General features: G+C 41.9%; 1 protein-coding gene across 1 annotated transcript, besides 2 other annotated features; it reads right to left on the bottom strand.

The window, feature by feature from the left end:
• On the bottom strand, positions 1567 to 25421 carry EIF2S3 (eukaryotic translation initiation factor 2 subunit gamma). Its single transcript, NM_001415.4, has 12 exons — positions 25340 to 25421; positions 24699 to 24762; positions 22829 to 22956; positions 22623 to 22744; positions 20195 to 20289; positions 17803 to 17961; positions 16042 to 16176; positions 14285 to 14379; positions 12269 to 12413; positions 8650 to 8819; positions 7114 to 7286; positions 1567 to 3655 (listed from the first exon to the last, which is right to left on the bottom strand). The coding sequence occupies exons 1-12, from the start codon at positions 25406 to 25408 to the stop codon at positions 3592 to 3594; spliced, it is 1419 nt and encodes a 472-aa protein (NP_001406.1). The 5' UTR covers positions 25409 to 25421; the 3' UTR covers positions 1567 to 3591.
• Positions 25163 to 25232: an enhancer, noted in NCBI's record as "active region_29497". NCBI's record gives its function as "activates an Ori minimal core promoter by ATAC-STARR-seq in GM12878 lymphoblastoid cells {active_cell/tissue: GM12878}" and the evidence as "EXISTENCE:reporter gene assay evidence [ECO:0000049][PMID:35858748]".
• Positions 25253 to 25802: an enhancer, noted in NCBI's record as "active region_29496". NCBI's record gives its function as "activates an Ori minimal core promoter by ATAC-STARR-seq in GM12878 lymphoblastoid cells {active_cell/tissue: GM12878}" and the evidence as "EXISTENCE:reporter gene assay evidence [ECO:0000049][PMID:35858748]".

Here is a 25802-nt window from a genome sequence, read left to right as displayed (position 1 = left end):
GATCCACCCACCTTGGCCTCCCAAAGTACTGGGATTACAGGCGTGAGCCTCCACGCCCGGCCAGCAGAGGTAATTTATTATTTTTTTGAGATGGAGTCTCACTCTGTCACTCAGGCTGGAGTGCAGTGGCACAATCTCAGCTCACTGCAACTTCCAACTCCCAGGTTCAAGCGATTCTCCTGCCTCAGCCTCCTGAGTAGCTGGGACTACAGGCGCATGCCACCACACCCAGCTAATTTTTGTATTTTTAGTAAAGACGGCATTTCGCCATGTTGGCCAGGCTGGTCTCAAACTCCTGACCTCAGGTAATCCACCCGCCTCGGCCTCTCAAAGTGCTGGGATTGCACGTGTGAGCCACCGTGCCCGGCCCAGCAGAGGTACTTTCTGAATCACCTGTTTCATGGTTATTAATCTTTTAAGGGTATCTGCTTCATTTTAGGTAATTAAAATTTTTAAAATACTATTTCCAAAAAGTACCCATTTCACTGGAATCATCACCCTATCAAGTTTTTCTAGAAATGGGATTTGTTTTATGAGTGCAGTTATTTGCATATCCTTATTAGAATAAAAGTCACGTTGCCTCTGCAAAAACAAGCACACACAGGCATCCTCTTTGGAAGTCAGATATGAGACCGAGAGCTTTCCAGGTCGGCTTCAAAACCACCTGGAAGATGTCACAGCTAGTCTGTCTTCATGCCCCCCGTTTCTGTGAGGCTAACTTTTACACCTTACTATCACAGAGTTGTATGTAGTATTCTCTAAAAAACAGGGACTCTGGCTATCGTGTTGAGAACAGACTGCAGCAGGGCAAGTGCAGAAGCAGGACAGTTAGAAGGCTAGTCCAGGTGAGAGTCACTGATGGCTTTGACTAAGGTGGTAGCAGTGGAAGTGATCAGAACTAAAAAGATTTTGAAAATATCTTGACAGTAGAGCCAAGAGGATTTACATATGCAATATACTTTTTTTTTTTTTTTTGAGATGGAGTCTTGTTCTTGTCACCCAGGCTGGAGTGCAATGGTGTGACCTCAGCTCACTGCAACCTCCACCTCCTGGGTTCAAGCGATTCCCCTGCCTCAGCCTCCAGAGTAGCTGGGATTACAGGCACCTGCCACCACACCCGGCTAACTTTTGTATTTTTAGTAGAGACAGGGTTTCGCCATGTTGGCCAGGCTGGTCTCGAACTCCTGACCTCATGATCCGCCCACCTCAGCCTCCCAAAGTGCTGGGATTACAGGCGTGAGCCACCACACCTGGCTGTAATGTACTTTCATGAGAAACATTACAGGCACATTCTCAACTAGGTACATCTCTTGCTAAGAATCACTGCTCTGGCTTCAAGTTCTATTAAAATAAGGTCCATTTACTTCCTATCTGTATATGCCCATTACACTCAGTACAGTGCTTTACAAATTTGCTAATTCATGTGGATGTCTGAAATTAATTATAATAGAATTCTGGTTTCAAATCTTACATGAGATTAATTACAATGTCTATATTTTAAGTCTTATTCCAAAATTTCTGGTAGAAGGTACCTACAAAACACATGGGGACATGTTAGATATAAAATTAGTTTGATTTAGAATTGTTTTATTTGTGTTCCTCATGCTACAACACAACCTTCAAAGTCAGCGAAGTTTATAACATTAATATGCTTCCTCAAAACATCAATTTAGGCAACCCATAGCCAGAGCTTCTAAACTTCTACAATGCAACTTCAACATTCACAAGAGCACAATATGCTTCAAATCCCATCTCAATGCAAATTTAAGAAAAGCAAAGCAAATTGTATTATCAGTCTACCAAAACTCAGTAAGATTCTGTAATTTAATATACCTACTTCTCAACTCTCTAAATTTGTTTCTCAACACTGGGGAGTTTTTAAAGATATCAATGCCTGAATTCTACTCCAAGCCAATTAAATCAGAACAATTAAAATCAGAATCTCTGTGGGGCATCTTTTTTTTTTTTAAAGCTTCCCCAGCAACGTCAGCAAGAGTTGCAAATCACTGCTCAACAGAACCTCTTACGAAGCAAAAACATAAAGAAAAATAAGCCGGGCAGAGTGGCTCACGCCTGTAATCCCAGCACTTTGGAAGGCAGAGGCGGGCGGATCACCTGAGGTTAGGAGTTCAAGACCAGCCTGGGCAACATGGTGAAACCCCATCTCTACTAAAAATACAAAAATTAGCCGGGTATGGTGGCAAGTGCCTGTAATATCAGCTACATGGGAGGCTGAAGCACGAGAATCACTTGAATCAGGGAGGCAGAGGTTGCAGCGAGCCAAGATCGTGCCACTGTACTCTAGCCTAGGTGACGGAGTGAGCCTCCGTCTCAAAAAAAAAAAGGAAAAGCACACGAAGTATAGGGACATGGGGAATAAGTTAAAAATCAAAAGGACTCACTCATTGCTTTCTAACATCTTTTACTTCTTGACCTTTTGAAACATCCAAAAATTAGTAGTAGTATAATCTATGTCACAATCATAATATAACAGTTAAGAAAAAACATAAAATGAAGGCCTAAAAAGATCTTTGTTACTCATCTAGAATTATTTGGTATAACAGTATTTTCCCATGGAGGAAGACTTGGATTTCAGGCATTAAACAACGCAGAAAAAAATCTCAAGGCATCACAGGGAGAGGGAGATAACTTTTGACTCTGGTTTCCCGTGTTTCAGGCCAGGAAGAGCAAGGGGAGAAAAATATTTGTCCATGGGAACAAGTAATCATGCTCTAAAGGACAATTTCATTCGAATCCATTCATTTCCTTTTCATGCAAAATTTCAAAGATAAAGCAACATAAAATATGGGGCCACATAAAAGGGAGAAGGTCTTCAAGGAGAATTTGTGCCTTTAAGTTTTTACTGGTACAACAGTCTTTCAGCCTGGAGGTACTCAAAGACGAATCATGAAAAAGAAAAAAAACTTTATTTCAAACAGGTTCAGTGATATATGTGTGTGCTACAGCAAAGGCTGGTTGTGGCAAAGTTTCATTTCAAACTGTATGATGTGGGCTGGGCAAGGTGGCTCACGCCTGTAATCCCAGCACTTTGTGAGGCCGAGGTGGGCTGATCACCCTGAGGTCAGGAGAGACCGGCCTAGCCAACATGCTGAAACCCCGTCTCTACTAATAATACAAAAATTAGCCAAGTGTGGTGGCGCGCACCTGTAATCTCAGCTACTCGGGAGGCTGAGGCAGGAGAATCGCTTGAACCCGGGGGGCAGAGGTTGCAGATCACGCCACTGCACTCCAGCCTGGGTGACAGAGCCAGACTCAAAAACAAAACAAAATAAAACAAACAAAAAAACAGAACTGCATGATGTATAATTTTGACATTATGTGGGAATGTTTAACTTCTGCCAAAATGTAGATTCAATCCAACATTATGCCAATTTTTATATTAATTTTAGTCCCTAAGTTTTCATAACCAAAAAAAAAAAAAAAAAAAAAGAGAATAACCTTACCGTTACCTACTAAGGTAACGAACTGTGAAATCAATTCCCCAATATTGCTTTGAAAATAAACCCCTTGGTTGTTAAGAGGAATTCCAACTTCCAAATCCATCCGAATGTATTATTTAACTGGTATTCTTCAGTCATCATCTACTGTTGGCTTGATTGTCACTCCTCTTCTTATCTGACCCCAACCAATTAAACTGCAAAATGAAAATAAAAGAAATCATAAATCTTACATCCACTTCACTCTCATTACCACACAATCTTGTGATAAATTTTACCTGCTTATCTTCTGAATTCAAATTTGTTCCCAAAGCCTGCTCCTCCATAAAGAAAGCCCACACTATATTCTTAGATTCTTTTTTATTCTTGCTTTTGTGTGTTTTTTCTGAGACAGTCTCACTCTGTCACCCAGTCTGGAGTGCGGTGGTACGATCTCGGCTCACTGCAACCTCTGGCTCCTGGGTTCAAACAATTCTCATGCCTCAGCCTCCCGAGTAGCTGGGACTACAGGCATGCGCCACCATGCCCGGCTGATTTTTTGGTATTTTTAGTAGAGATGGGGTTTCACTATGTCGGCCAGGCTGGTTGCGAACTCCTGGCCTCAAGTGATCCGCCCACCTCGGCCTCACAAAGTGCTGGGCTTACAGGCATGAGCCACCGTGCCTGGACTGAAAGTTTATTGCTTAAATCTATTTCAAAATACACTGGAAGTCGTGTGTCTGTAATAGCAAAAAAATATAATCACAAAAGACAGTAAAATCAAAAGGGCATAAGTCACCACAAATAATTATTTACTTAAGAGACAACAAAAATTTAACTTTCTAAATTACAGGGCAATAATTCAGATAAATCTCCTGGACAAGTGATGAGACCATCGTGGGCACAGTAGCATGGAAGCCTTAATAAAGGAAACAGGGCTGGGCGGGGTGGCTCATGTCTGTAATCCCAACACTTTGAGAGGCTGAGGTGGGAGGATGGCTTGAGGCCAGGAGTTTGAGATCATGCTGGGCAACACAGTGAGACCAAGTGTCTACAAAAAACAAAAAAATTAGCTGATCACGGTGGTGTGAGCCAATAGTCCTAGCTACTTAGACACTGAGGCTGCAGTGAGCTATGATCATGCCACTAAACTCCAGCCTGGTCAACAGAGAGACCCTGCCTCTAAAAAATATAAAATAAATAATTAAGGAAGTAGATAGTGGGTAGGGGTGATGTGAATAATTATGGGGACAGTTAGGGCACAAAACAGTCTAATTTAGAGGGTTTATATAAGACAATGCAGAAGGAAAGCTTAAATGGGTTGAAGCAGGTTTCTAGAAAAGTCCCAAATATCAAAAAGTAGTGAGAAGACTCTAGAAATTATTAAACACAGCATGATGAAAATGTTTTAAGAAGACTAATTTTGACCAAGTTAAGAGGCAAACTAGGAGTCTTTCGCACTAACTGTGAAGTGTAAAGTGATGGTGGTATGGACTGTGATGAGGTGACGAGGAATGGAAAGCAAGGGGCAAACTCAATAACCTGGGAAAGAGCAAAAAGTCAGGAGCCAAAAATGTGTGTATGCTTCCTGGCTCTATGCTCTCAAAAGACCTAGAAGCAACAGCACCCTAAGAGCCATGAGCACACCTGAACACTCAGCTTTTCATTTATAAGAGAAATGGCCAGTTCTAAAACTGGAACAGAGAAGGTACAAGATGAGTCTGGAAGATTTTGTGCCAGAAAATAAGGAAATGTTCCAAAAAAAAGAAGAAAGAGGTCAGGCGTGGTGGCTCATGCCTGTAATCCCAGCACTTTGGGAGGCCAAGGAGGGCGGATCACCTGAGGTCGGGGGTTAAAGACCAGGCTGGCCAACGTGGTGAAACCCCGTCTCTACTGAAAATACAAAAATTAGCCGGGTGTGGTGGCGTGTGCCTGTAGTCCCAGCTACTCGGGAGGCTGAGGCAGGAGAATTGCTTGAACCTGGGAGGCAGAGGTTGCAGTGAGCTGAGATCATGCCACTGCATTCTACCCCGGCGACAAAGCAAGACTCCATCTCAAAAAAAAAAAAAAAAAAAAAGAAGAAGAAAAAAAAATGATGAGTACATGTCAAAAGGACACAAGAGCCAGCCTGAAGGACCTCCACTGGCCAAACGTCGAACAATGCACATCAAAATAAAGGAAGACAGTGATGGATCATAACATGTTGAATAAAATAGGACTCCATGAGTCCATATTATAACTAGATAGGGAAATAAATAATGGCAAAGAAAGAATGCCAAATGATAAATGTGGGGTGGTAGAGTTGAGGGAGGATACTGCAACCCGTAGAGGTGCTATGATTTTGTAATCATTATAGTCAAGTTCGATTCAGGCAAGAATCATCAGTGGATGCTACATCCAGGGGTGTGGGATTCAATGATCAGCAGGCTATTTGTACTGGCTAGAAAGATCTCCCTACAGATTGCTTATTAGTTGCAAGGGTAGAGAGTAACTACACAGCAGAGAAGCTGGACAACATCTTGACTACATAGTCAAAACTAACCTTAACAAAGAGGAGCAGTCAGATATCATGTGCCTCTAGCTGTGATTCCTGAAAAGGAGACTTCACGGTGTATTTAAGTTAAGAATATATAACTGAATCTAATGTTAGGCTTCCGAATGATAAGAAAAACCCAAATTGAGGAATATTCTATAAAGTAACTAGTTTGTATTCTTCAGAACTGTTAATGTCAATTAAGACAAAGGCTGAAAAAGCTCCAGATTAAAGATCAAAGAGACATGAAATTAAATGCAATTCAAGATTCTAAACAGGAGGAACATAAAGTACATTATTGGGACAAGTAATAAAACTGAAACATGCACTGTAGATTTCAGTATTTTGCCAATGTTAAATTTCTAAGTGGTTACATAAGAATATCCTTTTTTGATGGGAAATATACACTGAAGTATTAAGAGATCAAGAAGCATAACATATATAGCCTACACTCAAATGGTTCAGAAAAAAACTTATATATGTAAATAAATCTGTATGTGTGTTTGTCAATCTAGGAAAAAGCTATAGAGGAGTTTTCTGTAAAACTCTTACAATTTTTCTATTAAGTGTGAAATGATTTCCAAAGCCAATGACGATAGAAATACCGAACCCAAATTCATTTGGTTTTGCATAGGTTGTGTCTAACAGGAAGAGAAGCCAATCACAGTATTTGGACTAAAATATGGGACTATAGTCAAGGTTGTAGTTTTTTCTGAGACGGAGTCTCGCTCTGTCGCCCAGGCTGGAGTGCAGTGGCGCCATCTCGGCTCACTGCAAGCTCCGACTCCCAGGTTCACGCCATTCTCCTGCCTCAGCCTCCCGAGTAGCTGGGACTACAGGCGCCCGCCACCACGCCCGGCTAATTTTTTGTATTTTTTAGTAGAGACGGGGTTTCACCATGTTAGCCAGGATGGTCTTGATCTCCTGACCTCATGATCCACCCGCCTAGGCCTCCCAAAGTGCTGGGATTACAGGCGTGAGCCACCGCACCCGGCCGAAGTATAGTTTTCAAAGTCATCCAAATAAATAGTTGAGACTGAAAGCCACAGTAACTGTTGTCCTCAAGGAAGATTGTGTGCTTTTTTTTCTGTACAAGACTGTGTCTTTTTTTAATTAGACAGTGGCAAAGACTAACAAACTTACCGCCAGTGTTTTTCAACTCTTCGGCTAAGGGCAATTTTTTCTCCTACCTCTGTGCACACTGGATTGGTCAAAACAATTTTACCCAAATCGGCCTTGACAGCACTAACTCTCCCTCCTGTTGACAGGGATCCTATGTTCACCATGAGCACTTCATTCTTAGACAGCTTTTGAACCTAGAAAAATAAATTAGGGAAAAATAAACCCCAAAATCAAGAAAATGCTTTCCAAATGTAAGTAAGAATTTACCAAATACTATTGGGAAATATGTCAATCATAAAAAAAATTCTATAGAAATTTCATTGTAAAGGAATTTGAACTATATATAGTATAGTTTATTTGGCACCCACTGAATTTACACAAGATCTACCTTTAAAAAATAGGGTAGTAACCGTACCAGAGTACCTCTTAAAATTCTGAAGCAGTTACCTAGTACAAATGAGGTACAAAATTTCCCAAAGAGGGGAGCATGAAGGACTATGGCTATATAAGAGTTAATATGGGCCAGGCGCAGTGGCACACGCCTGTAATCCCAGCACATTGGGAGGCCGAGGAAGGCAGATCACCTGAGTGGGGGGAAAAAAAAGCATGATAGCTTATTTTCCTCAATCTTTGCCAACACTAGGTGTCAGCAATTTCCCATCTCTGCCAACCTAATCTGGGACATTTTTTAAAAATCATGAAGCTGGGCGCAGTGGATCACACCTGTTAATCCCAGCATTTTCGGAGGCTGGGGTGGGCAGATTGCTCAAGCCCAGGAGTTGGAGATCAGCCTGGGTAATGCGGCAAAACTCCGTCTCTACAAAAAATACAAAATTAGCCAGGCGTGGTGACCCACACCTGTAGTCCCAGCAACTCAGGAGGTTAAGGTGGGAGGATGGCTTGAGCTGGGAGATCGAGGCTGCTGTGAGTCGAGATCGCACCACTGCACTCCAGCCTGGGCAACAGAGCAAGACTCTGTCTCAAAATAAACAACAAAACAAAAATATGGATTTTAGGAATATCATGTCTTTGTCATAAATGGCTAATACTTTTCCCTGTTTATTAAGTTTCTTTCTTAAACTAACTGCCATATAGTTCTCAATTTTGGCCGGACGCAGTGGCTCATGCCTGTAATCTCAGCACTTTGGGAGGCCAAGGCGGGCGGATCACTTGAGGTCAGGAGGTCAAGTCCAGCCTGGCTAACATATAGTGAAACCCCATCTCTACTAAAATATACAAAAATTAGCTGGGCGTGCTGGTGCGTGCCTGTAGTCCCATATACTTGGGAAACCGAGGCAAGAGAATTGCTTGAACCCAGGAGGTGGAGGTTGCCGTGAGCCGAGATCGCGCCACTGCACTCCAGCCTGGGCAACAGAGCGAGAGACTCCATCTCTAAATTAAAAAAAAAAAAACCCTCAATTTTGGGGAGGTCAAATTTATTTACCTTTTCTTTTTTTCTTAATTTCATGTTAACTGTAAAACAATAAAACTCAACACTGGTTTAACACTCCCATTTGTCACTTTTTTAGAAACAGGAATTTTTAAAAAAGCATTTACCTTTGCTGCTTTCTTGTCTCCTTCAGTGCGTACACCTAGAAGCCGTCTAAGCAGGAAATAGGAAATTTCCAATTCTGTGAATATCTCAGGTAAAGCTCCGACTGCACCAAGTACTTGCCCCACCATTCTGTCAGCCCGGCACAAAGTGGGGTCAATTTTTGTTCCAACTCCTATATAAAAATAAGATGTATATAGCTCAATTTTTTATTTCCTAAAACACCTATAAAGTGAATTAGTTGGCCAGGTGCAGTGGCTCACACCTGTAATCCCAGCACTTTGGGAGGCCGAGGCAGGTGGATGCCTGAGCTCAGGAGTTAAAGACCAGCCTGGGCAACACGGTGAAACCCTGTCTCTATTAAAATACAAAAAATTAGCCAGGCGTGGCGGCGTGCACCTGTAGTCTCAGCTACTTGGGAGGCTGAGGCAGGAGAATCACTTGAACCCAGGAGGCAGAGGTTGTAGTGAGCCGAGATCGCACCACTGCACTCCAACCTGGGTGACAGAGTGAGACTCTGTCTCCAAAAAAAAAAAAAGTGAATTAGATACCCCAAAGCCATATAAGCACAGCATATACCTACACACTTTCATACTTTTATTTTTATACTCATATAATAGCTATATAGGTACAAGAAAATACCTGTTTTATCTAGACAAATAGAAATATACACTCATGAGATGACTGGGCAAATGAGAACAGAACGATTCTCTTGATTTAAATTCTAAACAAAGGGTTTAGAAATCTGATTTTCTAGGAATGATGGCTTGGCTGAGAACTTAATGCAGGAGATGGTAAGTATTACTGACCTGGTCTTGAAAACAATAAATTCTAAACAAAGGGCAAATAGAGATAATAAGTGAACTCAAAATGAGTCCGAATATCCTTAACAAAGACCGAAAGAATACAAAATTCAAAATGAGTAGTTTGCAGAATACCTGCATGCCATTTCTCCCCTGAAAGACTGATTGAAAAGATAGTTAAAGACTACATATGGGCCAGGCGCAGTGGCTCACACTTATAATCCCAGCACTTGGGGAGGCCCAAGTTGGAGGATTACCTAAGGTCAGGAGTTCAAGACAAGTCTAGCCAACATGGCAAAACCCAATCTCTACTAAAAATACAATAGCTGGGCATGGTGGCAGACACCTATAATCCCAGCTACTCGAGAGGCTAACGCAGGAGAATCACTTGAACCTGGGAGGCAGAGGTTGCAGTGAGCCGAGATCGTGCCACTGCACTCCAGCCTGGGCGACAGAGTGAGACTCTCAAAAAAAAAAAAAAAAAAAAAAACTACATATGATTCCTGGGATCTACTTCAAAATATTCTAGCTGTGTCTTGAGGGGAGTAGGGGAAAGAAGATATATAGATGGAGCAAGATTGATTGGGAAAACTTTTTTTTGCTGCTGTTGTTGAGACACAGTCTCTGTCGCCCAGGCTGGAGTGCAGTGGTGTGATCTCGGCTCACTGTGACCTGGGATTACAGGCTGGGATTACAGGCATGTGCCACCACACCTGACTAAATTTTTTTTTTTTTTTGTATTTTTAGTAGAGACAGGGTTTTTCGAACTCCTGACCTCAGGTGATCCGTCCACCTCGGCCTCCCGAAGTGCTGGGAATACAGACATGAGCCACCACGCCCAGCCAAGACTGGTAAAACATTAATAATTGCTGAAGCTGAGTGATGGCTCTATGGGGGTTATCATTACAGTATTCTATCCTATGTTTAAAGAGTTCCTTAGGCCAAGTGTGGTGGCTCACGCCTGTAATCCCAGTATTTTGGGAGGCCAAGGAGGGCAGATCACTTAAGACCAGAAGTTCGAGACCAGCCTGGCCAACATGGCGAAACCCCATCTCTACTAAAAATACAAAAATTAGCTGGCTGTGGTGGTATGTGCCTATAGTTCCAGCTACTCGGGAGGCTGAGGCAGGAGAATTAACTGAACCCAGGAGGCAAAGGTTGCAGCGAGCCGAGATAATACTACTGCACTCCAGCCTGGGTGGCAGAATGAGACTCTGCCTCAAAAAAAAAAAAAAAAAAAAAAGAAATTAAAAAAGTTCCTTAAGTTAAATTTTTAAAAAGTTTCCAGATTTCCCTTGTTTACCACACACATGCACACAAAAGATAAAATGATAGATGGAACTACAGGCACACACCACCAAACCCAGCTAATCTTACTATTTTATTGGAGAAATGGCATCTCATGGTTTCCTAGGCTGGTCTCAAACTCCTGGTCTCAAGCAATCTTCCCACCTCAGCTTCCCAAAGCACTGGAATTATGAGCATGAGCCACCATACCCAACCTGGTAAATTCATTTTTTCTTTTCTTTTCTTCTTGTTTTTTTTTTTTTTTTGAGACAGAGTGTCACTCTGTCACCCAGGCTGGAGTGCACTGGTGTGATCTCGGCTCACCCTCCGCCTTCTGGGTTCAAGCGATTCTCATGCCTCAGCCTCCCGAGTAGCCGGGATTACAGGCGTGGGCCACCACACCCAGCTAACTTTTGTATTTTTAGTAGAGACAAGGTTTTACCATGTTGCCCAGGCTGGTCTCAAACTCCTGAGCTCAAGCGATCCACCCACCTCAGCCTCCCAAATTGCTGGGATCACAGGCATGAGACACTGCGCCCAGCCAACCTGGTAAACTCTTTTTCATTTTTTTGTTTTCTTTTATTTCCTTTTTAAAATTTTCAACCAGAGACACAACTTATTGGGTGAAGAATTAACTGTTTCTTTACCAAACATTTTCTTCTTTAATCTAAAGGTACAACACCCCTTCTAATTCTCACTGAATCTTTCATTTTTCTGGGTATTGAGTAATACACTAAGTTGTAAGGGACTAGAAAAGTTTTTAAATCACTTCAGTAATTGCTACACAAAGAAATTTACTTTCTTTTATTTCTACCTCATTGGAAATACGACCTGATATCATTCAACTGACATTTGTAGGTAATTTTCCATTTGCAAAATATACATAAAAGCAACCATGGCCGGGCATGGTGGTTCACGCCTGTAATCCTAGCACTTTGAAAGGCCGAGGCAGGGGGACTGCCTGAGCTCAGGAGTTCAAGACCAGCCTGGGCAACACGGTGAAACCCCGTCTCTACTAAAATACAAAAATCTTAGCTGGGCCTGGCAGCATGTGCCTGTAGTCCCAGCTACTCGGGAGGCTGAGGCATAAGAATTGCTTGAACCTGGGAGGCAGAGGCTGCAGTGAGCCAAGATTGCACCACTGCACTCCAGCCTGGAGGACACAGCGAGACTCCATCTCCCAAAAAAAAAAAAGGCAACCATTATCTAGCACAAAAATCATGTTAACAAAAACATAAGTGTAGGTAAATATCTTACATGATAAGTCATCAAATTTATTTTTTTATATTGCTAAAAAGGAGTTACTCTATATTTGATCAAAATGTATCCTTTGTGTTTAAAAATAATTTTTACAAACCCATGAAACCATCTTATAACCTAAAACAAGAGCTTAACCACATGATTGTTCCCCACCCTACTCTATTATTAAAATACCCAATTAAAAATCTGTAATATGTCCCTTTTGGTAATCCATCCCCCATGAAAAGTACCACAAATAGCCACAAATTAAAAGAGATGAGAAAAAAATCCTTACCAATAAGACCGCCTGGAGCAGCATATTGCAGATCATTATGCTCCGCAAAAAGTGATACAATTTTGGAAAAGATTGGTTTACACATGAGTTTTCCTTCACTATCTTTGGAAACAATACCAGGTCTTACTTCTATCTCCTGGCCCACCTGTAAACATATAATTAGTAATTAGAATTACTGTGTTACGCAAAATTATCATTTACCTATCAAAAGTTCCAACAGGGACTGGGTGCGGTGGCTCACATGTGTAATCCTAGCATTTTGGGAGGCCGAGGCGGGTGGATCACCTGAGGTCAGGAGTTCGAGACCAGCCCAGCCAACATAGTGAAACCCCGTCTCTACTAAAAACACAAAAATTAGCCAGGTGTGGTGGCACGCACCTGTAATCCCTGCTACTCAGGAGGCTGCGGCAGAATTGCTAGAACCTGGGAGGCAGAGGTTGCAGTGAACCGAGATCGCACCACTGCACTCCAGCCTGGGTGACAAAGAGAGACTCTGTCTCAAAAATAAAATAAAATAAAATAATAATAAAGGTCCAACCGGAAGACCATAAAACTGAAAAGGCAATCATTCCTGTATTTCAAAGATCATTATTCTTAAAAAAAAAAAAAAAAAAAGATGTGAACGAGACTGTCAAAACCAGAACCATCCAACTGTTGTTAACTACCCACCACACAAGTCTATTACCACATCAAATGTGCTCCATACTTACAAGTCTATAAATTTTCAAGTCAGACACATTCAAAAGACATAACAGAAAACAAAGAAATATAGCTGGGCGTGGTGGCTTATGCCTGTAATCCCAGCACTTTGGGAGGCTGAGGCAGGCAGATCACCTGAGGTCAGGAGTTAAGAGACCAGCCTGGCCAATATGGCAAAACCCCATCTCTACCAAAAAAATTAGCTGGGCGAGGTTGCGAGTGCCTGTAGCCCCAGCAAGTCGGGAGGCTGTGGCAGGAGAATCATCACCTGAACCCAGGAGGTGGAGGTTGCAGTGAGTCAAGATCATGCCACTGTGCTCAAAAAACAAAACAAAAAAAAAACTATTATCAGAGCATGTAAATTAGTATAGCTACCATGGAGAACAGTATGGAGGTTCCTTGAAAACCTGAAAATACAGCTACCATATGATCCATCAGTTTCACTAGTGGGTATACATTCACCAGAAAGGGAAGCAATATTATCAAAGAGGTATCTGCACTCCCATGTTTATTGTAGCACAGTTCACAATAGCCAAACATGGAATCAACCTAAGTGCCCATGAACAGATGAATGGATAAAGAAAATGCAGTATATAGGCCGGGCAAAGTGGCTCACGCCTATAATCCCAACACTTTGGGAGGCCGAGGCGGGTGGATCACTTGAGGTAAGGAGTTCAAGACCAGCCTGGCCAACATGGTGAAACCCTGTCTTTACTACAAATACAAAAATTAGCTGGGCATGGTGGGGGGTGCTTGTAATCCCAGCTACTTGGGAGGCTGGGGCAGGGAGAATCGCTTGAACCCAGGAGGTGAAGGTTGCAGTGAGCTGAGATCGCTCCAGCTTGGGCGAAACAGCAAGACTCCGCCTCAAGAAAAAAAAAAAAAAGAAAAGAAAAGCAATGGCAGCATATATATATATGCAATGAAGTATTATGCAGCCATAAAAAAAAATTCTGCCATTTGCAGCAGCACATCTAGAATTGGAGGCCATTTTGTTAAGTAAAATAAGCCAGGCACAAAAAGACAAATATCACACATTCTCACTCATCTGTATATGTGGAAGCTAAAAAGGTGGATCTCATGAAGGTAGATTGTGGATTCAGAGGTCTAGAAGGGTGGGAGGAGTGAAGTTTGAAGAGAGAAAAAAAGAATATTAAAAAAGAGAACTCTACATCAAATACCAGAAACCATGGAAAAAATTTTATTTTTCAATTTGGATTGTCCATACTTTTTTTCCTGATTAAGACAAGGATAAAACAAACAAACAAACAACAAAAAAAAAAAACCCAAAATCACAACAACCAAAACCCATTTTACCTTTAATACTCCTTTTAGGATACTACCACCAGCTACACCTCCCTTAAGGTCATCAACTTCACAGCCAGGTTTGTTGACATCAAAAGATCTAATAACTAAAATAAAACAAATTAAAGTCAGTTCTGTTAATCTTAACTTTAGAAGAAATATTATTTTCCATGTTAATGTTTCTAAAATAGTGGCCATTTGAGATTTATACCAAAGGGGTGCCTTTTTAACAAAATCTATTATTATTCCAATGATTAAGCAGTCTTACTTATGATGGAAAAAATGAAAGTAACTTAAGTTTATTAATAAGTGGCATATAGGGTATACCAGTATTATAGAGCATCACGCAGCTATTAACAATGTTAGAGCTATATGTAATGATCTGGAAGGATGACCCTCACATACTGTTAAGAAAAGTTATAAAAATTACACGCATAATATAATCCCACTTCCATAAAGAAAAATAAAATAATCAATGTCTGTATATGGATTTTTTTTTCCCTCTATCATAGAGGCTGGAGTGCAGTGGCACAATCATAGCTCACTGCAGCCTCAAATTCCTGGGCTCAATCTTCCTGCCTCAGCCTACCGAGTAGCTCGGACTACAGGTACACACCACTGCACCCAGCTGTAATATTTTATTTTTTGTAGAAATGGGGTCTTCCCTTAATGCCCAGGATGGTCCTGAACTCCTAGCCTCAAGCAATCCTCTCACCTCAGCGTCAGCCTCCCAAAGTGCTGGGATTACAGGTGAAAGCCACCATGCCCAGCCTGTGTATATGTTTATACACGATGATATGAACAAAGAGAAAAGTGTGGGAATAATGGACACCAAATGTTAACTTTGCTGACTTTAGGGCTAAGGAACTAGAACTTGAAGACAGAGAGATTATGGACATTTTCTTTATAGACCTCTGTAACTCCTGTAAGAACAATTCAGCTTTATAACTATAAAACACTAGGACTACATGACCTGCACTTCGGAGACTATTTCCTACTAAACACCAGAAGCTCGGATGAAAGCCAGAGGAGCTCAAATGTCTGTTTCGAGAAGGCTACTACATCCCCGTGTAGGAACCACAAGCCTAGGTGATCAAATTATACCAGTATCAGTTCTTCGTTAATTGAACAACAAAATCATCTGTAAATGTTTTAGTCAGGAAGTTCTAACACCCTAAAACATTATGATTCCATGGAGAATACTGTATTACTCCATCTTGATCATGTACCATATATTAAGCACAGAAAGGTTAGCAGTTGTTTTTGGGTTTTTTTGAGACGCAGTTTCACTCTTGTTGCCCAGGCTGGAGTACAATGGCGCGATCTCAGCTCATTGCAACCTCCGCTTCCCGGGTTCGCGCCATTCTCCTGCCTCAGCCTCCCGAGTAGCTGGGATTACAGGCACCCGCCACCATGCCCAGTTAATTTTTTATATGTTTAGTAGAGACAGGGTTTCACCATGCTGATCAGGCTGGTCTCAAACTCCTGAACTCAGGTGATCCACCCACCTCGGCCCCCCAAAGTATTGGGATTATAGGCGTGAGCCACTGCGCCCGGCTTAGGTTAACAGTTCTTACTGTGTTCAGGACTCTGTCCCTCATTCAGTAATACAATCTAGCACTGCCAATACAATCTCAGAATTGATTTCAAAAAAATTGTATGAATTATCACCTCTGCAGAAAGAGGAAATATTAATAAACATCCTTGAAGAGGAATCACCAATGTGGAAAAGATCAGATTAAGAGTTAAAGGCAAATCCTATCACTTACCAATAAGCCGGGGCTCTGAAGTAAAGTCTCTTGGGGGTACTGGAATTTTCTTTACTATGTACTCACAAACAACTTCAATATTGTATTTCAGCTGAGCTGAAATTGGAATAATGGGAGCTCCCTCTGCTACTGTACCTATATGACAAAATTTAGAAAGATCAAAATTATACAGTTTTATAAAATTTATTCTATGTATCTGTTACATAAAACAATTAAGATTACTATAATAAAATAGATGCCTAAACCCCATATAAATGTCAGCAACAAGTGGAAAGTGGATAATTCTGTTTAGAAAGATGGCAATATTGTTTGTTTTTACTCCTGAAAATGAATACAAATCCCTGTAAGAGAAAATTTGTTACATTATATTAGTAGACATACTTAATATTAGTACAATGATAAACTTATTTAAATAAAGAAAATACTAACATTCCTGTGAAAGAGCACTCTACTAGTTGAAAAAATTTCTAACAACATGTAATTAATCTCCCAATAAATGTCAAGATAAAATTACAGACTCTGCTAATCAAAGACTGCTGGCATATATACTTTTTTTTTTTGGAGATAGGGTCTCGCTTTGTCACCCAGGCTAGACTGCAGTGGCATAATCACGGCTTGTTGCAACCTCCACTTCCCAGGCCCAAGCGATCCTCCCACTTCAGCCTCCTACATAATAGCTGGGAACACAGGTGTGTGCCACCAAGCCCAGCTAATTTTTTGTATTGACAGAGTTTTACCACGTGGCCCAGGTTGGTCTTGAACCCCTGGACTCAAGTGACCCACCCGCCTCAGCCTCCTAAAGTCTTGGTATTACAAGTGTGAGCTACCACGCCCAACCATATATATTTGCTACGTATTGATTATACGTCAAACAAGCTAGTCAAAGAAATAGACCAAACACAATTAGACTTTAATCAAATTCACTTATTACTTCTCGTGATGACAGAACTGAGTTCATAAGAAATTAACCTTTCTAAAAAGAAAAACAAGACTGAGAGAGAAAATGTCAACAATAAATCACATCTCCTCTGAAATGAAAAACATTATGCTATTAGAGAAGGGACACTCTAGAGATTTATTATTTATTTATTTGAGATGGAGTTTCGCTCTTGTTGCCCAGGCTGGAGTGCAATGGCGTGATCTCGGCTCACCGCAACCTCCGCCCCCCAAGTTCAAGCGATTCTCCTGCCTCAGCCTCCCAAGTAGCTGGGATTACAGGCATGTGCCACCACACCCTGCTAATTTTGTATTTTTAGTAGAGATGGGGTTTCTCCGTGTTGGTCAGGCTGGTCTCGAACTTCCGACCTCAGATGATCCACCTGCCTCAGCCTCCCAAAGTGCTGGGATTACAGGTGTGAGCCACCATGCCCGGCCGACACTCTAGAGATTAAATAATCACTGTCACTTCCAAATCTGAAAGCTGTTCAGTAACAAATACTGTAAGACAAGGTTTTTTAAAATTATTTTATTCATTTTACTGTCACTGAGATTTTTTTTAATCTGATTGATAAAGTTTCCAGAAAACAACCTCAGTTCTAACTTGCTGCCAGCAAAAATATACTTTAGTATATTAAATTCAGAATCACAGGTTTCATTAGTTATATCAGGTTACTAACAAGCAAAAGGTAGGGCGATAAGGCTTAAGACTTGTAAGTTTACCTTGTTTTAGATAATATATTAAAAGTTAATTTAACATCTGGTATCCAGAGTAAATGCCTCTCAAAGTGATTCATAGATTTATTTCATATTATGGCTTCTTACCTTGGACAAATGCAAGGATCTGCTCGTATTGTTCTTTAGCCTGACTTTCTTTTACCAAATCAATTTTATTTTGTAGAATCAAAATATGCTTCAGTTTCATGATCTCTATAGCAGCCAGGTGTTCCGATGTCTGAGGCTGAGGGCAAGATTCATTACCAGCTAGTTGATGAAGAATAAAAAAGATGCATATAAGAATAGCTGGAAATATCCAGAATAGGCGGGCAAATCCATAAAGAGACAAAGCAAATTATGGGTTGCAAGGGGCTGGGGGAGGAAAACATGTGGACTGACGCTTCATGGGCATGGGGTTTCCTTTTGCGGTGATACAAAAGTTCTGATACAAAAGTTCTGGAACTAGATAGTGGTGAAATGACAACCACTATGTTGTAGAAAATTGTCAATGTGCTTAATGCCACTAAATTCTACCCTGTAAATACATAAAATGGTACATTTTATGAGTCTCTTTTGCCACCCACTCCCCGCCCCAAAAAAAGTTGGCATCTAATAAAGGAGACTTCTGAATGTTCTAACCCTAATAAGGAAGATATTATTGCCAGGTATCCACCTTTTGGCCCTGCTTCATCCTCTGTTGCCTGCATTCACTGGAACCTCCCAATTGTGTGGCTCCCAATCCTGGTCCTAAGCAAGAAGCTTAAAATCAGCAAGTTTGGCTTTTCTCAGGGTCTGCACTCAGCTTTTGCTCAGGTATGAGGTATAGCCCTCTAACTCTCTCCAGTTTTAGAAATGTTCTGGCCCAGGCAAGCTCCTGAGAAGTAGAGAGTAATTAAAAGGGAAAAGCACTTAATACTGTCTATGAATTTTTACTAATATCAGAGGCTACTCTTCAACTGAGGGAGGGAAGAATGCTATTGTGAAGATAACCAACAGTGTATTATAAAGAAATAGGCATGTTTTGTTGAGCACTCTAATGATCAACCTCCTCAAGTCGTGATATTCAAGTGTCCTGACTATACCAACATGGCATGCTTTAAAAAAAAAATTTTTTTTTTGAGACTGAGTCTCACTCTGTCTCTGTCACCCAGGCTGGAGTGCAGTGGCGTCACCTCGGCTCACTGCAACCTCCGCCTCCCAAGTTCAAGCGATTCTCCTGCCTCAGCCTCCTGAGTAGCTGTGATTACAGGTGTGCCCCACCACACCCGGCTAATTTTCGTATTTTTAATAGAGGCAGGGTTTCACCATGTTGGCCAGACTGGTCTCAAACTCCTGACACCTCAAGTGATCCACCTGCCTTGGCCTCCCAAAGTGCAGGGATTACAGGTGTGAGCCACCGCACCCAGCTTTTTTTTTTTTTTTTTTTAAGACTGAGTCTCCTTCTGTCGCCCAGGCTGGAGTGCAATGGCTCGATCTCTGCTCACTGCAACCTCTGTCTCCTGGGTTCAAGCGATTCTCGTGCCTCAGCCTCCCAAGTAGCTGGGATTACAGGCACGCACCACCAAGCCTGGCTAATTTTTTGTAGTTTTAGCAGAGACAGGGTTTCGCCCTGTTGGCCAGGCTGGTCTTGAACTCCTGACCTCAAGTGATCCGCCTGCCTCGGCCTCCCAAAGTGCTGGGATTACAGCCATGAGCCACCATGCCCAGTCGCTTTTTTTTTTTTTTTTTTTTTTTGAGATGTAGTTTTACTCTTGTTACCCAGACTGGAGTGCAATGGCGCAATCTTGGCTCACTGCAACCTCTGCCTCCCGGGTTCAAGAGATTCTCCTGAGTAGATGGGATTACAAGCATGCGCCACCACACCCGGCTAATTTTGTATTTTTAGTAGAGAGGGGGTTTCTCCATGTTGGTCAGGCTGGTCTCAAACTCCTGACCTCAGGTGATCCGCCGACCTCAGCCTCCCAAAGTGCTAGGATTACAGGCGTGAGCCACCGCACCAGCAGCTTTTAAAAAATTTTACCCCCTAGTAATGAAATCTCTCAACAGCTAACATAAGAAACAAAGCATACGCTACCCTTCAAAACTCCACTTATTCCTACACTTCAGCACGTATTATGAATATTTGTATCTTAAATACTTCCACAGTAGACAGTTCAGACATACACACACACAAACCATAACACAAATAGTTTTACACATACATTTAAAACTAAATAAATCACCTCATGTGATTTAAATGAGAAAAATGAACTATTGACTTTTTTTCTTTTTCTCAAATGCTACCACAAGAATTCTCGCAAGCTATCAGCCCCAAGTCTATCTTTTTGAGTATTTTGTGATAGCTGATAGGTAGGAAAGTCATCCTGGATGACATGTTAGTTCCCATTCATGTCACCCTTAGGTAATAGATATGATCCTTAAAGGCCTTAGTTCCCCTTTAAATATTTCATCTTGGATTTGTTCCACATTGATTTGTCCAAACCAATTGTGAGGTATTTACCTATCAACAGAAGAGCTGCATCCATCACTGCTGCACCGTTCAGCATAGTAGCCATCAAAATATCGTGGCCAGGACAGTCAACAAAGGAAACATGTCTAATGATTGAGAAATAACAATCAGCCTTAACATAAATCACTACTTACACATGCTAGTTTTAGATTTTTTAAAGTTAAATCAACTTAGGAAATAATCTTATTGCTATAAAATGGTTACAGGGCTTGTCGTTTCTAGAACTTGGAAATAAGTTCACCAGCTGATGAAAACCACTGCAGATTACAAAGCAAATTAAATTAGTTATGTGCAGAATGGAAGATAAACTCCAAAATCCAATGAAAATGAATATGGTATAGAATAATGGTGGAGAGTATATACTGAGAATGTCATTGATTTGAAAGCTAAAACTTATAATGACTTATAAAAACCACGTTAACAGAATGAGAATTTGAAAAAACAATTTTCTGGCTGGGCGCAATGGCTCACACCTGTAATCCCAGCACTTTGGGAGGCCAAGGCAGGTGGATCACCTGAGGTCAGGAGTTTGAGACCAGCCTGACCAACGTGGTGAAACCCGGTCTCTAATAAAAATACAAAATTAGCCACATGTAGCTGGTGCATGCCTGTAATCCCAGCTACTTGGGAGGCTGAGGCAGGAGAATCGCTTGAACCCAGGAGGTGGAGGTTGCAATGCGCCAAGATAGCACCATGGCATTCCAGCCTGGGCAACAAGAGTGAAACTCCGTCTCAAAAAAAAAAGAGAAAAAAAAAAACAATTTTCCAAAAATACCTCTAACACCTTGAAAAACTAGAATTGCCCATTTGAAGCAGAGATGGCAGCACTTTTAACAAAACTATGGTATTCATTCAGAGTCACAATTGTTTTTTTAATCGCATGCTCACATTGTCATGATCTAAAACAGAGGTCAGCCCTTAGGCCAAATCTGGCCCACCACCATACCTATTTACACACGTATTGTCTACGTTTGCTTCTGTAATAGAAGAACAGAATCAACAGAAACTCTATGGCTTGCAAAGCTGAAAATATTTACTACCTAGCCCTTTGTGGAAAAAGTTTGCTGATCCCCTATTAAAGGCCAGGACTACAGTGAGACAAGTGCAAAATTTAAGAGACTGCCAAAAAACTCAGTAATCAAGGAAAATGGCCGGGCATGGAGGCTCATGCCTGTAATCCCAGCACTTTGGGAGGCTGAGGCGGGCAGATCACTTGAGGCCAGGAGTTCGAGACCAGCCTATACAACATGGCAAAAGCCCACCTCTACTAAAAATATAAAAACTAGGCCGGGCACAGTGGCTCACGCCTGTAATCCCAGCACTTTGGGAGGCCGAGGCGGACGGATCACAAGGTCAAGAGATCGAGACCATCCTGGCCAACATGGTAAAACCCCGTCTCTACCACTGCACTCCAGTCTGGCGACACAGAAAGACTCCGTCTCAAAAATAAATAAATAAATAAATAAAAATAAAAACTAGCTGGGCATGGGGGCTCACGCCTGTAATCCCAGCTACTCGGGAGGCTGAGGCAGGAGAATTGCTTGAACCCAGAAGTGGAAGCTGCAGTGAGCCAAGATCGCACCACTGCACTCCAACCTGGGCAACAGAGACTGTCTCAAAAAAAAAAAAAAAAAAAAGAAAGAAAAAAAAATATATGCATTCAGTATTTTTAAAAAGTCGAAATTAATGCAAAAAATCAATCATAAACAAAATACAATGCCATGCTGAGCCAAAGCAAAAGGGGAAAAAAATTTAGTAATAGAGTCTGCCCTTATTTAAAATTCTGATTTATCACATTTTTTGCATTAATTTAAAAAAAACACTGCATTAAAATATTTATCCTAATTACTGAGTTTTCTGGCATACCTGCCACCGCCAGGCCCACTTACATTTTGGGCTTGAGGTGAAGGCCTCACTTGTCCCTCCCTGGTCCCAGCCCTGCCCCAATCTAAACATTCCTTGTAGGGCATCTCCAATCCCCATAAACATCACTAGACAGGTGTCAGTATCCTGATAAAAAAACAGGTATGCAATCATATTCAGAAAACAGATGGGGAACAAGTTCAAGTGTTTTAGAGAAGTAATTAGAAATGGCTCTGTTTCTCTCCTATTTAACATACAGAAACAGCGCTGTTTAAAAGAAATTCAGGAAGCCTAGAAAAAGAATCCCTTCAATCCAATGAGTTGTTTTTCTGTTTTGTTTAAGTGATACTTTTAGTTTGGAGAAATTGCATGTAAGTATTTTAACTTAGGTTTAGATGCTTGACTTTTCAGATTTCCCATAAAAACATAAACAATGGAAAAACAACAAAACCATTTAGCCATTAGGTTCACCGTTTAACACCTCGATATTTCAAAAAGCACAAAACAGAAGACAATAAAATATAAAGTGTAGTGTTTGTAGCAAAAGAGAGGTCACCTGACTAATTTGAAGTTCCCTTTGGTCCCTGGAATGTCCGTAGGAAACTCGTCAGGTGTACTGCTCCCACAAGATCTATAACATTCTGGCCGAGGGCAACTTGGGTCATCAAGCTTATAAATCTAAAATTTCAATAAAAAAAGATTTTGATTTGTTATCTGCACAACAATTAAAGTTAGTTTCTCGTTCCACAGTACACAGCTTACCTTAGCATTAGCATATCCAAGCTTGATTGTAATATTTCTTTCTAGTTCATTTTTGAACCTGACAGTATGAACTCCAGAAATAGCTTTGACGACTGTGGATTTCCCATGAGCTACATGACCAATTGTACCTATGGACAAAGTTCAAAAAATTAATTCATGTGTATTTAATTACATACCAAATATTTTTTCAAATAGTGTTAAGAGTAGAAAACCCAAAGCCAGCTGGACACGGTGGCTCACGCCAGTAATCCCAGCACTTTGGGAGGCCGAGGTGGGTGGATCACAAGGTCAAGAGAGCAAGACCATCCTGGCCAACATGGTGAAACCCCATCTCTACTAAAAATACAAAAATTAGCTGGGCGTGGTGGCGCATGCCTGTAGTCCCAGCTACTGGGGAGGCTGAGGCAAAAGAATCACTTGAACCCAGGAGGTGGAGGCTGCAGTGAGCCGAGATCGTGCCACTGCACTCCAGCCTGGCAACAGAGCGAGACTCCGTCGCAAATAAATAAATAAATAAATAAATACAATTAAAGCCAAAGCCATAACTTGCTGTAAATATCAACATAAAACCAACAGTGACTTCAATTTTTCCTCCTCCATACCCCTTCCTACTAGAAACGTGTTCTCATATAGGACTTAAGAGAAACTTCCATGTAACTAACAGCTTTACTTAAAAAATATACTCTGGGACAGACAGGGTCTCCTGCTGCTGCCCAGGCTGGAATGCAATGCCCTGATCACAGCTCACTGCAACCTCAACCACCTGGGCTTGAGCAATCCTCCGACCTCGGCCTCCTTAGTAGCTGGGACTGCAGGCATGCACCACCACGCACAGCTAATTTTTTGTATTTTTTGTAGAGATGGGGTTTGGCCACGTTGCCCAGGTGGTCTCCAACTCCTGGGCTCAAGCAATCCACCTGCCTTGGCCTCCCAAAGGGCTGGGATTACAAGCATAAGCCACTGCACCCGGCCAGAACTTTATATATTAAGGAACCTTCCAGCATTTCCAGATTAAACAGGTATGATGGGCCCTGACACAACAAAAAGGGATCTGTGAACAAACAAGGAAACAACCTAAGTTTAATTGCAACTTGTTCCGTTGATCAAATTATTGGGTCAATATATGCACAGTAATTTGCTTTAACTGGTATAGTCTTAGCATAGGTTGTTCGGAGGTTAGGTTATGCTCCAAGGTCACCTCAACCAAAATTTTTAATGCAGGGGCAGTAGTTCAAGGCCTGTAGGCTTATTTGGGCTTTGTTTGCATTAATAAATTAAAGCTCCAGACTGTAATACTGTAACTTTAATAGCCTCATGGTGGAGTCTTACTTTTTAACTAGGTTAAAAACTAGTCTTACTTTTTAACTTACTTCTGTACTTTTTAACTTACTTTCGTACAAACTGTGCTGTTTGTACAAACTCAAAATGTCCAAAATTTACACTCAGTCAACGTAACTTCTCCTCTAAAGTTCTAGGTGCCAATTAAGAAAAAAAACCTTCTATTTAATCACAGCTTGTACATCAAATAAAACTTTCATAAATTCTGCCCTTGAAATAATCCTGTGTGTCAAGTACAGCCACATTTTTCACCTCTTCCTTAAACTTCTGCTACATATGACTACATACTGCCTTATGCTATTAAACTTTTCTTATGTCTCCATTTTTTCTTCTTACCGAGTCTGTAAGCTACATGTGGGCAGCATTCTTTGTGCTCCCCCTGCACCGCAAATGTAGCAGATGCTTTATTCACAAGGACTCAGTATCTATTTCTTGAATATCTGAATCCTCATACTATTCAAGTAATCACACAAAAAGTGAGGTTAAAATTAATTGTTGGAGACCAAGGTTAGGTCTCTTAAGTTACTCTTACCTATGTTAATTGTGGCTTGTCTGCTGATAACTTCGTGTGAAAGTGGCGTCAACTTGGTAACATCCTGCAATGAAATATATTTTAAAACACTGCACGTAAAACAAATGAGAACTTTTCCTTTGACTTTACGTTTGCTATCTACATCTTGCCACCATCTGCACAGCTTTCCACTACTTCTAAAGCTCCTTTTCCCTATCAGTAACTTTGTACTCCTATGGCTGGGAAGCTGTTAAGAGCCCTTCATCATTACACAACAGACTACACCTCCACTCAACTATTAGGGGATATCTGGAAGTCAGAGATCCCCCCAATCTTGGGAACATTAGCACTAAAAGTAATGCAGACAGGACACCCCCTTCCCAGACGTTCAGAGGCTGAAACCATGACAATCAACATCAAGACTTTCCAGCCGAACCCTCCAGAAGCTAGAAGTCCCACGACCGTACACGCCTGCGCCCAGATCGTGGACTGGCCTGGGTACAGGCGGCGCGAGCATGGCTTAGGGCGCCCAGTTCCAGGTCTCCCTCCTGACCCAGGCTCCTGACCCATGCTCCCGACACTGACTAGTCCCAATACCACCGGGAGGCTCGGTCACCTCCACTCCTGAGCTCACTCTGCATCCTCCCCAAGCAAAACCTCACCAAGGTGGTGAGATCCTGACGCGAAAGATGCGGCTGCCCTAGAGTCACTCCAGCTTCTCCGCCCGCCATGTTGCCAAAAGAGGAAGGAAATCACCCCGGCTGCCGCCTGATCATCTGCAGGGGTCCTAGTGCGGGGCGGGGAAGCGGAGACGGGAAGGCCGAGTAGGGGCTCAGGATGGCCGGTGCAGCAGCGGCCTCACTGCTTGGACATCTCTCCGCTTGAATCTGCACAGTGCCTGTCGGTAGGCTGAGTGGAAAACACGGTGCGAAGTTGCTGGAGCTATTCGTCGCAGACCTGGTAGATATTTGTGCAGGCAATACTGAGGGCAGCCACCAAACCCCCGCCCCGCCGGCCCGTGCGAGGCGGGTGATGCAACCCGGCGCGCGCGCTGGCCTGGGAGAGACCATTTCCGTTTCCTGTGGAGTTTCCCGAAACCTGGGAATCAGCTAGGGTGTGGGAACA

This window comes from Homo sapiens, chromosome X (assembly GCF_000001405.40).
Source record: "Homo sapiens chromosome X, GRCh38.p14 Primary Assembly".
Lineage (NCBI taxonomy): Eukaryota > Metazoa > Chordata > Mammalia > Primates > Hominidae > Homo > Homo sapiens.
This window is presented reverse-complemented; position numbering and strand designations above follow the sequence as displayed.

What these genes read in the sequence shown, in the direction of transcription:
- EIF2S3 (NM_001415.4), bottom strand. Translation starts at nt 25,408, where the DNA reads ATGGCGGGCGGAGAAGCTGGAGTGACTCTAGGGCAGCCGCATCTTTCG. An exon ending in GTCAGGATCTCACCACCTTG is followed by an intron (nt 24,763 to 25,339) that starts GTGAGGTTTTGC and finishes ATTTCATTGCAG; the next exon opens with GATGTTACCAAGTTGACGCC. An exon ending in GATCCTTGCATTTGTCCAAG is followed by an intron (nt 16,177 to 17,802) that starts GTAAGAAGCCAT and finishes TTTGTCATATAG; the next exon opens with GTACAGTAGCAGAGGGAGCT.